This window comes from Homo sapiens, chromosome 2 (genome assembly GCF_000001405.40).
Source record: "Homo sapiens chromosome 2, GRCh38.p14 Primary Assembly".
In the NCBI taxonomy this organism is placed as follows: domain Eukaryota; kingdom Metazoa; phylum Chordata; class Mammalia; order Primates; family Hominidae; genus Homo; species Homo sapiens.
The window spans coordinates 191144867-191158718 of NC_000002.12; the positions used below are offsets into that span (position 1 = coordinate 191144867).

Consider the following 13852-nt stretch of genomic DNA (forward strand, 5'->3'; position numbering starts at 1 on the left):
GTTTACATTAAAAGATACAGGTCAGAAGATTAAGTGATTTGCTCAAAGCCACATTTGAGAGTCAGATTTTTAACCCAGACCTTCTTGGTTCCAAAGACCATGCATCATCTATTAATATTTTCCCCATCTGTGCTTATCTAGCAAAGTGACCTATGGACTCTTTACTAGTAGGCTAAGAGTTAGCAAACTTTCCTATAAAAGGCCAGATAAATGTGATATACATATATATCATATGTAAATATGAGACACATATATACACACATATATAATACACACACATATTTTTATTTTAGGCTGTATAGGTCATGCTGTCTCTATCACAACTTCTGCCATTGTAGTGTAAAAGCAATCATAAACAATATGTAAACCAACGAGTGTGGCTGTGTTTCAATAAAACACAGAAATTGGAATTTCATATAATTTTAATGTGTCAGAAATATTATTTTAAATTTTATGATCTATTTTATTTTTATTCTTTTCCAATCACTTAAAAATATAAAAACCATTCTTAGTCATGGGCCATATGAAAATGGGCAGTGGCCTTTTGACTTGTGGGCCATGGCATGCCAATCCCCATTTTAGGTTTATAGATTAGATCACTAAGCTAATAAAGCCACCATTAAATGATTTGTCTCCATAAAAGACAGATTGCTGTATGCTGCCAAAAATCCTGTTTTGTCGGCAATATGCTATTGTCCTGTTTTTAGTCAAGTGTCTTGCAGATTTACAGGGGATTACAAGGGCAAAGATAGCTCAGCGCAATCCAAACAACAATAGGAAAAACAATATATTTGTCCTTCTCACAAATGTAATGTCAAGAACATTTCTATTATAGTCTAGTTAAAATGTTCTAAAAATGTGTTAATTGTAGGTTTTGGATTCTAAAAATGTCTCCATGAAGAATGGCACAAAGCACTTTTTCTGTTATTTAATACGTTGTATGCACTCAGTAAATATTATAGCAGTCCATGGTCAGGGTTTATTACATTAGAACTGTTGGGTTTAGCTCCATATTAGCCTGCTTTTAATTCTTTAGATCCCTGATTCACTTACTTGATTTACTCACCCCTTAATCAGTAAACATTGCACATCTACCACAAGTCCAGACTTATGCTGGGTGCTGGAAATTCAAAGTTGAACACTAAAGTCCTTGCCTCAAGGAACTCATGATAGGGAGAGAAGTCAAACACATAGAAATAGCAATAATGTCGAATATACTAAATGCCACAGTATCGATGTGTTCTGGTGCTGAGGAAACACACAGAGATGGGCTCTGCCTGGGTGAACCAGAGAGTACCAAAGAACACTTTTAAAGGAGTGTGAGATCTGAACCAAATCTGTAAGAATACATTCACTCATGATGCTCTCATTTAGGAATGAGAACAATACTAACTCTAACTTGTTACCTAAGAGACAAAGGCAAGGGAGGGCTGCTGGAGAGCCGTGAAACTGTGGTCTGGTCAGTGTTGTTGAACTGAATCATAGCTAGTAAACAAGATACATGCAAGTCCCACATGCAACACACTTGTAATGTATTTTATACACTATACTTTTAGTGTATTTTATTTTCAACATTTCATGAAAAATGTTAGGTAATAAAATTGAGCACAAAATTTGTAAGTGGTAAGACAACTCAATTTTCCCCTAAATTTCATTTGAAAATAATATAAGGGTACATATTTAATTTTTAACTAAATTTAAGACTCATATATCCAAATATTTTGGAAAAGTAGAATGCATTCTTACCTGAAGGACCTTCCTAATTCTTTTTAGATTGTGTATCAAGAGTAGGTTTTTCTCTTTGGAAACACGACCTAACTGTTCATCCAGTTGTATTAACAAGTTTTGAAGAAGAATCGTTGCCATGGTTTCATTGTTAGAAGCTGCCTCCCTAAAAAAAAAAAGGATTATTACACAACAGAAAACAACTTTGTAAAATGTCTACTTTTTTACCATACTAACTTTAAAACAATAAACCTATTACATGGTGATAAGCATTTAAAAGTTTTAAAAAATTAAATTGTTAACATGAAGAGATGCTCAACATCACTAATCATTAGGGAATTTCAAGTGAAAATCAGAGTAAGATACCACTTCATACCCATTAGGGTGGCTATTATAAAAAGGAAAAGAAAAAACAGAAAATGAGTGTTGGTGAGGATACAGAGAAATTGTGCAATGCTGGTGGGAAGGTAAAATGGTCAATCACTGTGGAAAACTATATGACAGTTACCCAAAATATTAAACATAAAATTGCTATATGACCCAGCAATTCCACATCTGGATATATACCCAAAAGAATTAAAAGCAGGGACTCAAACAGATATTTGCATACCAATGTTCCTAGCAGGGTTATTAGCAATAGCCAAAATGTTTGAACAACCCAAATGTCCATTGACAGATACATTTATAAAACAAAATGTGATATATACAAACAATGGAATATTATTGAGCTTCAAAAAGGAAGAAAATTCTGATATGATACCTGTTAAACATGAATGAATTTTGAAAACATTACACTAAGCAAAATAAGTCAGTTACAAAAGGAAAAATATTGTGTGATTCCAATTATCTAAAGTACCTAGAGTAGTCAAATTCACAGAGACAGAAAATAGAATGGTGATTGCCAGGGGTTGGGGGTGGAGGACTAGGGAGTTACTGTTTAAAGAGTACAGAGTTTCAGTTTGGAAAGATGAAAAAGTTCTGCAGATGGATGGTGGTGATGGTTGCATAATAATGTGAATATATGTAATGCCACTGAATAGTACACCAAAAACAATGGTAAATTTTATGTTATGTGTATTTTACCACAATAAAAAAGATGGCTGAAAAAAATTAAATGGTATAAGGTGAATAGAGCTTTGAAGAGTATAAATCTTACTGAGAAAAAAATATTGATTTACATTGAGTCTGTGATAGAGAACTGACAATCAATTGATTTGCTTCTTTTTTTAATACATGAAAAATTATTTGGGTTTTTGTTTACAGAGAAAAGAAGCACTGGAACCATTAACTTTTCATTTACAATGAATGGAACCAGAAAGGACAATTATTCCCCTTCTTTGGGAAGGCTTTCAAATCCTTGAGAAAGTTCTTTACCTGAAAAGAATGCATCTACTGAGTAAAAAGTGGACCATAAAATAAATTCACATGGATAGAGCATCAGACATTTGTGCATCAACTTCTAGGGAAAATATGTTTGATCCTACCAGTCTTGATTTTCAATCCATTGGGCCAACAGATGCCGAATTTCCATGGGAAAGTTGTCATCATAGAATTGATCCACCTGCTCCAAAAACTTGATTTCTAACTGTTGGACTTGATTCCACTGAGACATGCTATAAAAGAAGGTGTAGAATTAGAGTTTTAAAATATTGTTCATAGCCCTAGTACATATTTTCTTCTTTCCTTAGAATTAGTCAATGTTATGACTGAATTCCAATATATCCAAGGATACAAAAATTTCACTAAGGTTTTTTTTCATAATTCAACCCTAATGAAGGGAGCAGCCTTCTTTCTGTGCCCCTAAACTACAGCCTTCCTTGCTCTAAAATGAACTCCTGTTCTACCTGCTCCAAAAAGTTTTCACTCCCACTCTGCCAAACACCCCACATCCTGCCCACAGCTGTCTATGTGAATTTCTATTATCAACAAGCTCTTTCCCTATCTCTTGTCCCCTCAACATTTAGACTTGGAGCAACTTGAAGGCAAACGTATTTGACATTTACTATACCTCCTAAAACCCTCTAAGACTTTATATGTGAGGAACAACCCCCCAAGAAGCTTCTTTTATATGAAATTGCCAAATTTCTTTTTTCTTTATTTCAGATTTGTCTGGCTTCTAGAGTCAGCTTTATGTTCTTGACTTCTAGTCCAATTTTGTCTTAGCTTCATGAAGAATTTTATGTATGCATTTTCGTAGGCTCCAGTTTTTTAAATTAAAAATATTTCTGAACCAGTGAATGTGTTTCATTTCTCTCTGTGAGGATCCATTATAGATGGGCAAAGCTCTTAAAGGATGTAGTCTTTTTGTCTCTGAGAAACATCTGATAGTGGTTAAACCCTCAAGTTACTTAAGGAGTAAGAAACCACACTTGATACCTATTTGGCAGCCTGTCATAAAAGAAAAGTACGCATTTCCCCCTTGTAACCCCACTCTGGCCAATTTAGAAGCTGTAGACATATTTCCTAACTCAGGAAAATTAGTATGACGCTGCCTCCTTGAAATTACAGCATTTTATGTTTTCCAAAGTCAAATTTTTGGTTGTTTTCTCAGCAATTCTAAGTCAAGTAAAAACACCAAACCCCCTTTTACATGATTAATCACCATAACATTTCAACATATCTCATAGATAGGCTAAGGTTTCCTTTTGCCTATAGAACACCAGGGTAATTTCATATATTTCATATACATATTCTTTGGGTTTTAAGTAGAATCATTTTGAGCACCTTTTCCCTGAGCTCCTGGTAAATGACTTAAAATTTATAAAAAAACGTGTTGCCAATGTTTTGCTAAAGAGAAAGCAAGTGGGAAAAGAAGTAATGTTTTATTTGCATATCATTTTATATTTATGAAAACCTTTACACTTTACAATTCTAGGCATATTGTAAATGCTCAATCAATGCTTGTTAAATGAAGAATGAGTGGCACTCCTGACATTGCTATGAATATGGTAGGTGGATATAAGTAGTATGTCAACTTTAAAAAGGAAAAACTTGAAGATCAAATAGGCGAAATGACGCCTGCCTAATGTGTGAGGCTTCTAAGGGACAACCTGAGGTTTCCTGAGTCTGAACCATTTGTTTTTCCAGATATCGGATGTATATATATTCCATCGGATGTGTATATATTCCACACAAAATTGGAACATTTGTTCTCATGCTACTATCAACATTGTCCTATCTATCAATTTATTTTAGTTAATGACAACAGAGAACATGAGTTGAAAATAGCATTACAGTTTTTCATCATACTATTGTTAAACCCCCGCTATGATTTGGATGAAAAATCTATTTTCTAACTAAAACTTACAGGTAGATGGGAGGAATAAGTTCTAGTGCTGTAACACTAGGATGAATATGGTTAACAATAACTTAGTGTATATTTTCAAAAAGCTAAGAGGATTTTGAATGTTCACAACACAAAGTAATGATAAATGTTTGAGGTGATGGATATGCTGAATATCCTTTGATCATAACACATTGTTCATATTTATTGAAATATCACTGTATATTCCATAAATATTTACAATTGTGTGTCAAATGAAAATAAAAGGAAAATTAAAAAAAATAAAAATAAACACCGAAAAAAATCACTACTAAGATCTGAGTCTTTCGGAGAGCTGAATTCAAAGCTGAAAAAAGGAAGAAGAAGGAATACATAGTCCTAGGACATTTTCTATTGCAGCCTCTGGGAACGCCTTTAGACATCCTTCAGCAGGTTTCTTTGCTTTCACTCTCTAGGGGCTACTTCTTTCTCATGAAAACTGTGACGTTGCTTCTGAAAACTCAGTGCCTGTCTGTCCTTTTTGCGTGCATTTCCTAGAAGATCCCACTAAAGGGGCATTTTGTCCCACCGTCTGTGAGCTGGTGGTGCCGCTTTGGCTCTGTGGCCTGTAGCTTGCAAAAGGAGATGACCTGCCCTAAAATGTCACTCGCGCCCATCAAAGCCACAGTCACCGGCTGCCGTAGCTGCAAGCTTTTTTCTGAAATCCAGGTACGCTAATCTAAAGTCAGACATCACAGCTCTAGAGAAGCTGGCTAAGAAAGTGAAGAGGGGCTCACTTTCAGCCTCCGCGAGGACACACCTCCGCAGCCGCCGCAGCTCCCCTGGCCCCCGCAGGGAGATTCGCCCGGGCACCGTGGCGCGGGCCTGCGGAGCGGTTTCCGCGGAGAACCCGTGCCAGGGCGCATCTGTGGGTCGTGGAGTCGGGCGCTTCCTTCTATAATAAGCCTCCTCAGGAAGGTTAAAATGAAGCAATTGTCAAAACGCCAAGGGAAAGCAAAGCTTCAGAGTATCCTGCATAATAAGCATGTCCTCCTTACAAGAGGCAGCCAGAAGGTGTGGTCTGGCCACTTACCTAGCGCTCTCTCAGCACAGGTCCCAGGCAGTGCTCAAGTCCAAAGTCAGAAGCGCCCCTCACAGTCCCTAGGAGAAAGCCGCTGACGCCATCATCAGTAGGGGATTTGCATTTCTCCTCCCACTTGAGGCTTTCCTGTGCGTCAGTGTTCGAGTCTCTGGGACTTTACTTGGGTCAGTTCCCACCCACTCTATTCTAGAAATGCTAACACGCAGAAACTGCCAGGCTGGAGCCCCTTCACCGGGCGTCCTCTTCCCTCTTATCCCTCCCAGCGGCTCTCGCAACTGCAGGTGGCTCAGCAGTGCCAGGAAAAAGGGGAGGGGCGGGGCATACATTTTCTTCAGTGGTTTCCTTAGACAATCTGAGATCCTCTGCAGAGTTACTTACCTGGAGCCCAGTTCTTCAGCTTCCTCTCTCCCTAGTATAAGGCTCCACTCAGCCTGGTGAACCACCCCTGGGATGGAAGGGATGGGTAGCCAGGATCAAAACACCAAACTCATAGACCTTACTGGGCTCCAATTCCAGCGGGGTCCGCTCACTCCGACGAGGGTGACCTGACCCAGAGGGTTGGGCCAAGTCCTGGGTAGGCCACCAGTGCTTGCCCTTCCTGACCTAGCCTCCTCCTACTCTCCTTGAGTAGCCTTGCCCCTGGTTGCTACGGTGCGTTCTTCTCCCTTTGTGACATCAGCCTGTTCTAGAATCACAGAGTTGGAGGAAGTCTTGGTCCCATCTAATGCTAAATCCTCTTTCATATCTGAAGAGACCCAGTGAGGTGACCAAGAGGACTCAATAAGTTAGCCACGGAGCCCGATAATAGCCCAGGTGTTTCCCTTCCCACTTCAGTGGTCTTTTCATTTCATCTCCTTGTAGTTAGCTCTTAACCCCTTGATTCACAGTAGGGGTTCAATAAAATAAAGAGAAGTCCAGGCGTGTGGCTCACACCTGTAATCCTAGCACTTTGGGAGGCTGAAGTGGAAGGACTCCTTGAGCCCAGGAGTTTGAGACCAGCCCAGGCAACACAGTAAAATCCCACCGTATATTAAAAAATCAATAAAAATGTTTAAGAAAGTAAAAATAGTAAAACAAAGACAAAAATAAAGACAGACAGACAGACTGAAAGAAAGGTAGAAAGTGTCACTCAATTTGGTTATACACATGCTTAGAGCAATATACCAAGGTGAAAGGCCTGCCTCCCTCTTCCCTGACGGGTTTCACACAGGTACACCCTCTGGATTCTTCTCTCCCAGGTGACATTATCATGTGCTTAAACTTACCACCCACCCCCAAATAGGTCAATCAATCCAAAGTCACACTTTCCATATCACTGTAAATTTCCTGGTTAGGTAGGCCTGGTCCCCACTGCTTGTTGAGCAGGCAGTTTCCAGGAGCTTATGCTGCTCTGACCCTACATAAGAAAGTGCCAATTTCAGGCTATTCCATAAGCTACTAAGCAAAGTCTGATTTTCTTCTGGAGAAGCTGTCACTGCCTATAGGAAAAAAATCCAAATTCTTGGCAGTTTAAGTTCTGTACAGTTTGGTCCCAACCTATCCAGGAAACTTTTCTCCCCTATAAGAGCCCATGATGTGACCCAAGCAGTCACCTCAGCTGCCCAGATTAACCTCATATTTCACTACCGAGGCTTTCTTCAACTGGATATTCCTCCCTGAGCCTACCTACTTAGTGAAATCCTATAGTTCTCAGTGAAGACTTCCCGATGACCTGAACCCACAGCAATGTTTCCCTGCTCCAAATTCTTCATACTTCCTGTCCAAACCAGCGCTCTCCAAGAGAAATAAAATGTAAGCCACATATGTAATTGTAAATTTTCTCATAGCCATATTAAAAAGGAAAAAAGCACAGGTGAAATTAATTTTAATATTGTAAATAACCCAATATATACAAGAATCTTAACATTTTGGCATATAATCAATATAAAAAATTATCAATAAGATACTTTGCATTCCTTATTTCATACTCAATCTCTGAAGTCTGGTGTATATTTAGCACTTACAGGGCATGTCAGTTAGGACTAGCCACATTCCAAGCCACATATGGCTAGTGGCTGCCGTGTTGGACAGTGCACATCTAGACCACTTATTTAGCACTTTTCACTTCCTGCCTCATAGTGTTAGTCACACTGGTTTTACATGTCCTTATCATTATCATATTCAATTGTTGAGTGCCTGCTGTACAAAACAGAGTTTGTTCTCCTCCTCCTTTTCAGGGCCTTACCTTGCGGCTTCCACAGCAGTTTTTAAACCTTTTGTTCTCAAGATACCATTATTCCCTTAAAAATTGTTGACAAACCCAAGGAATGTTTGTGTATTACTGTTCTGGATGAAATTTTTATTTACTGTGTTAAAACTTAAATCTGAGAAAAAATTAAAATATGTATTTATTCCTTCAAAATGACAATAATAAACCCACTCCATGTTAAACATGTTTTAAGAAAAACAAATATATCTTCCAACATGAAAAACGTAATGAGAAGAGTGGCATTTTAAAAATCTCTTTAATGTCTGGTTTGAGAGAAGACAGCTGGATTCTCATATCTGTTTCTGCATTTAATCTGCTGCAAAGTATTATTTTGGTTGACATATTTGAAGAAAGTATGGACTCACACATTTATGTAGTTGGAAAAGGGGAGTATTATAATGACCTTTTCAAATAATTATTCTTCTTTGATACCACATCAAAACTCAATGAGTGGTAGTTTCTGAAGGGCTAGTTGCATTGTGAAATCTGAAACCTTATCAACATATACTTTATGTATACTTTATGTAAACATATACTTTATGTATACTGTTACATTCAAATCTTTTGTTGTATATATTTTGAATGAAACTATTACCCACAAATTATTTTGCAATGTCAGACACTGGTCATTTAAAAAACATTGGTCCACTGAAGTATGCAGATTTTCTAAATGCTGCCTACTTCATCATACAATGAATACAACATTTCATCATACAGTGTTCAGAAATTCATGTCAGGTAATATCAATGTTGATCTCATCATGTAAGTATTTTAAATACTGGGAAGCAGTCAAGCTCAAATTCTAATTTTTGCTTGAAAGCTCAGTTTTATTATTGGCAGCAGATACTACCAGTTGTTTTCCTTAAAGTGACAGGCTCGTCTTGGCAACTCAAACAATCACGCAAGTGCTTTTCCTCGAGATGACCATCATCCTTTAATATGTGCCTTTTCCATTTCATCACAAAGAATATTAAAAAGACGTGTACTTAAGGTCTGAGATTTAATAAAATTAATAATTTTTACTGCTTCATCAAAAACATTCTTAAGTCAAACTGGCATTTTATTGTAAGTGCATGGTGGTGAAATATACAACTGCTAGTATAATTTGGCACCACTTCCTTGCTTTGTGCTAAGGCCCCAACAGTTTCACCCACCTTTGCTTTGGTACCATTGGTGCAAATGTCAGCAGGGTGAAAAGACAAAACTGTATTAGTATTATTATAAAAATAGTTTAACCTTGCAGATGCTCTAAAAAGATCTCGGGGACCACTCCCAGGGATCTGCAGGTAACACTTAGAGAACCTCTGCTCTATTTGCCATATGCTGCCAACTGTAACTCGTTTATCCAGAGATGTCTATCATGAGGGACTCTCTGCCCAAATACGCACTTTTTTCTTGGTTAAATCTTCTGCCTTGAACCTCTGTCTTCCTTCTGTATTTCATGAGTGGAGGAAGACATCTAAGAAAGGGCGCTTCTATGTCCAATTTGTTTCTCTTTTTTAGAATCAAAACTAAATAAGCAGGTCTGCAGTTTCTTGACCCTACACTGGCCCTGGCCTTGTCAGTCCCTCAGAGACAAAGACATAAAAAAATTCGAAGTAAAATGAAGAACAAACCAAATGCTAAAATGAAACCCCTGGAAGGTTTTCCAAATTCAAAGGCCCCCACAGATTCCTGTCTCCTTTCTCAAACAGCCACCCAGTTGCCCTGGTGATAAGCCCTATATCTAATTTTTTGCTGCATCATGCTAAGAAGAAAATCCCAGATTAAAGACTTTCAGAAAAGTAGCTTCTAGTTCTGGTGTGTCAATTTCTAGTGGCACAAAGTTATATAAGTTACCTAACTTCTCTAACCCCAAAACTCCCTGTCTATAAAAGTGGGGATATTATGTCCCACCTGAAATTGCTGGGAAAAGTCAAAGATATAATGTAAGAAATGGGATCAGGTTAAATGCTGAATCAATAGCTGTTAATAATAGAATAATAAACAAGTTATGGGTAACTTTGGCACTCACCAGGTTAACCCTCCAGCTTCCCTGCCACCTTGCTGTACAGAGCGGAAATGGAGATGAAGAGAGTCTGGGTGGGATAGGCAGGTTCACAGTTGTAAATAGAAGATAGGGTGGATTCAAAATCGGTTCTGATTGTGCTTTTCCCACTCTGCCCAGTGGAGCTGCTTTTGTGGGAAACAGAGAGAGGAAGAGAGAGGATATCACTCTTGCCGCTGTAAGGGAGGTAAACCAGCTCCACCTTCTCCCAATTTTTGTACAAAGAATATAAACATTTGCTAGTTTCAGTTTTGTGATATCACCATACTTCTCCTCTCCCCTCTTAAGTGTTCTGAGGAAACTGGGGTGAGCTGGAGTTGGAGGTTGGACAGACAATATGTACACGCAGAAAGATGCGTTGAGTTCCCTGGTTGCATATGCTAGTACCACATGAGTGGGACAGCAAGGATTATTGGGATAAGATGGCCTGGTGTGAATCTCATCGACTCATCTGTGTGCAGGTTGCTCTAGCTCCATCAGAACAGGAACATTGTCTTGTAAAAGGGTTTAATATCAATCTTGCTAATTTTCTGAAGTCCAGTTCCCATTGACTCTGCTCCCTCTACTGCCATCTCAGAAGCATTGCAATTTACAAATCATAGTCATATACCTCCATGCCAGACATAGTGCCAAGAACTTCAAATGCATTGTTTTAGTTAATCCTCACAGCACTCCATAGGATTAAATATCATGATTATCTCCAATTGGCAGATAAGGGGACAGAGGTTTAGTGAGCTTTAGTGAGGCTTATCAGAGGTAAGGACAGATTTGGGATTCAAACTAAGGACTGTCTGAGCTCCAGAAACAAAGCCCATAACCATTCTGCTTTACTAAAAATCTTATCTGCTCTTATGAGAAAAGCAATAACTTGCTCAGAGAGCTATAGAGGAAATAAGTTTGATGACTTAAACATGAATTCCAAAAAAGAGAGGATCATTGCATAGTCCAATCTTTTGGCTTCCCTGGGCCACATTGAAAGAATTGTCTTGGGCCACACATAAAACACACTAACGCTAACAATAGCTGATGAGCTTTAAAACAATCTCATAACGTTTTAAGAAGTTTAAGAGTTTGTGTTGGGCCGCACTCAAAGCTGTCCTGGGCCATATGCAGCCCATGGGCTGGACACACTTTGTCTACAGTTTTCTTTTCTTGTAATGTCTTCTGGAAGCTTGGGTAGAATTGGTATTATTTCTTCCTTAAATGTTTGAAAAAAAAATCACCAGTGAAGTAATCTCTGACTGGAGTTTTTTTCTGGTGGGAAATTTTTAAACTACAAATTCAATTTATTAGATCTAGGACTACTTAGGTTACCTATTTTCTCTTGAGTGAGCTTTGCCAGTTTCTGTCTTTCAAAGAATTTATATATTTCATCTAAGCTGTTATTATATACATAAAGTTGTTTATAATATTCCCTTTTAGCAAGTTATTCTTTTAATTCCCTTTTATCCCAGTTATTCTTTTAATAGCTGGAAAATCTGTAATAATCTTACCTCTCTCCACTCTGATATTGGTAGTTTGTGTCTTCTTTTTCCCCCCCCAGGACAGTTTTACTAAAAGTTTATCAATTTTATTTATATTCTCAAAGAACAAACTTTTGGTTTCATGGATTTTTTTCTATTGTGTTTCTGCCTTCTGTTTCATTGACTTCTACTCTTCGTTTCCTTTTATTTACTTCTGTTTCAGTTTGCTTTCTTTCTCATATATATATATATTTTTTTTTGAGACAGAGTCTCGCTTTGTCACCCAGGCTGGAGTGCAGTGGCACAATCTCGGCTCACTGCAACCTCTGCCTCCCGGTTTCAAGTGATTCTCCTGCCTCAGCCTCTGAGTAGCTGGGATTACAGGCACGCACCACCACGCCCAGTTAATTTTTGTATTTTTAGTAGAGACAGGGTTTCACCATGTTGGCCAGGCTGGTCTGGAATGCCTGACTTCGTGATCTGCCTGCCTCGGCCTCCCAAAGTGCTGAGATTACAGGTCTTATATATTTTAAGGCAGAAACTTAGGTCATTGATTGGATCTTTCTTCTTTCCTGATATAAGCATCTGCATATTTCTTCCTTTCCATTGCTTAAACTACATCAAACAAATTTTGATATGCTGTATTTTAATTTTCATTTATTCTACTTAAAATTTCCCTTGTGATTTCTTCTTTGATTTATGTTTGGGTTTTAATTAATTAATTAATTAATTAGAATTGTGACTTTTGTTTTCCAAACATTTGGATCATTTTCCAATATTTTCCTCATATCCATTTTTAATTTAATTCCATTGTGGTTAGATAACATACTTTTTTGTTATTTGAATTATTTAAAATTTATTGAGTCTTGATCTATGGCTGAGAATGTTTTGGTCGATGTTTAAGACACTTAAAAGAATGTCTTCTCTGCTCCTGTTGGGTGAAGAGTTTTTGCAATCTCAGTGAGGTCAAGTTGGTTGATAGTATTATCCAAGTCTTCTATATCATTCCTGATTTTCTTCCCATTTATTCAATCTATTATCAGAGGAATATTTAAATCTTCAGCTATAATCCTGGATTTGTCTGTCTTCTTTCAGTTCTTTCACATTTCATTGCATGTATTTTGAAGCTCTGTTATTAGATGCATAAACATTTATAATTGTTTTGTCCTTTTGATGATTTTCCTTTTATTTTTATGAAATGACCCTTGTTATCTCTGTTAATATTTTTGGCTCTGAAGTCTACTTTGTTTTATATTTATATAGCCACTGCAGGTGTCTATGATTAGTGTGAGCATGATATATCATTTTCCCAATATTTTACTTTTTACTTATTTATTTATATTTGAAATGTGTTTCTTGTCTGTAGTATATAATTGGGTCTTGCTTTTTTATCCAATTTAACAATTTCTAATTTCTGCTTTCATCAAGTATAAAGAGCTTTTTCCACTCTGGCTGTTGAGAATATAAATTATGCCTAGCCTTGTGTGAGCTCCAGAAATTTTTCCACCTGCTCCTCTTTAGTGAGTCCTCCCCACATCTTTGAGTAGTTCCTTTGCAAACATGGACTATTCAGTACTCAGCTGAAGAATCAAGGGGAGCCCTTTGCAGTCTTCTTCCTGGTACTCTGCCCCGTAAATTCTGACCAAACTCTCAACTCTGCCTCTTCAACTCTGAGAGAATGCCAGGCTCTATTTGAGCTTCCTCTTTCTGTGCTGGAGCTTGGAAACTTTCTCCAGAAAGTAAGCTATGAGAATCATAAAGATTGCCTCATTTGTTCACTTCTCTTGCACTGCCTATTTGTCAATTTCTGAAAAATCATTGTTTCACGGTTTTTGTTTGTTTGCTTAGCTGTGTGTTTAACATGAGCAGGTAATCCACTAGGGAAGGGTTGCCAGATTTAGCAAAACAAAATAAGACTGCCAGTTAAATTTGAATGTCAGACCAATAACGAATAATTTTTTCAGTCTATATATGACCTGCATTTATAGTATAAGTATGTTTGAAA

The 13852-nt window shown here is 37.7% G+C and overlaps 1 protein-coding gene across 5 annotated transcripts in view, besides 3 other annotated features; it reads right to left on the reverse strand.

The window, feature by feature from the left end:
* STAT4 (signal transducer and activator of transcription 4) overlaps window positions 1–6730 on the reverse strand; it is a 122021-nt gene extending 115291 nt beyond the window's left edge. Inside the window, exons 1-4 of one of the 5 annotated variants that reach the window (XM_047445604.1) lie at window positions 6468–6730; window positions 6081–6148; window positions 3210–3338; window positions 1747–1891 (exon numbers count right to left, since the gene is read on the reverse strand). In XM_047445604.1, the coding sequence (XP_047301560.1) occupies window positions 1747–1891; window positions 3210–3337 (273 nt within the window). In that variant the 5' untranslated portion in view covers window position 3338; window positions 6081–6148; window positions 6468–6730. Of the gene's footprint in view, window positions 1–1746; window positions 1892–3209; window positions 3339–5784; window positions 6163–6467 lie in introns of those variants that run through there. The other 4 variants (XM_047445603.1, NM_001243835.2, NM_003151.4 and 1 more) reach the window with 4 other exon arrangements.
* Window positions 5768–5817: a silencer, noted in NCBI's record as "silent region_12194". NCBI's record gives its function as "represses an Ori minimal core promoter by ATAC-STARR-seq in GM12878 lymphoblastoid cells {active_cell/tissue: GM12878}" and the evidence as "EXISTENCE:reporter gene assay evidence [ECO:0000049][PMID:35858748]".
* Window positions 6288–6337: an enhancer, noted in NCBI's record as "active region_16878". NCBI's record gives its function as "activates an Ori minimal core promoter by ATAC-STARR-seq in GM12878 lymphoblastoid cells {active_cell/tissue: GM12878}" and the evidence as "EXISTENCE:reporter gene assay evidence [ECO:0000049][PMID:35858748]".
* Window positions 6468–6547: an enhancer, noted in NCBI's record as "active region_16879". NCBI's record gives its function as "activates an Ori minimal core promoter by ATAC-STARR-seq in GM12878 lymphoblastoid cells {active_cell/tissue: GM12878}" and the evidence as "EXISTENCE:reporter gene assay evidence [ECO:0000049][PMID:35858748]".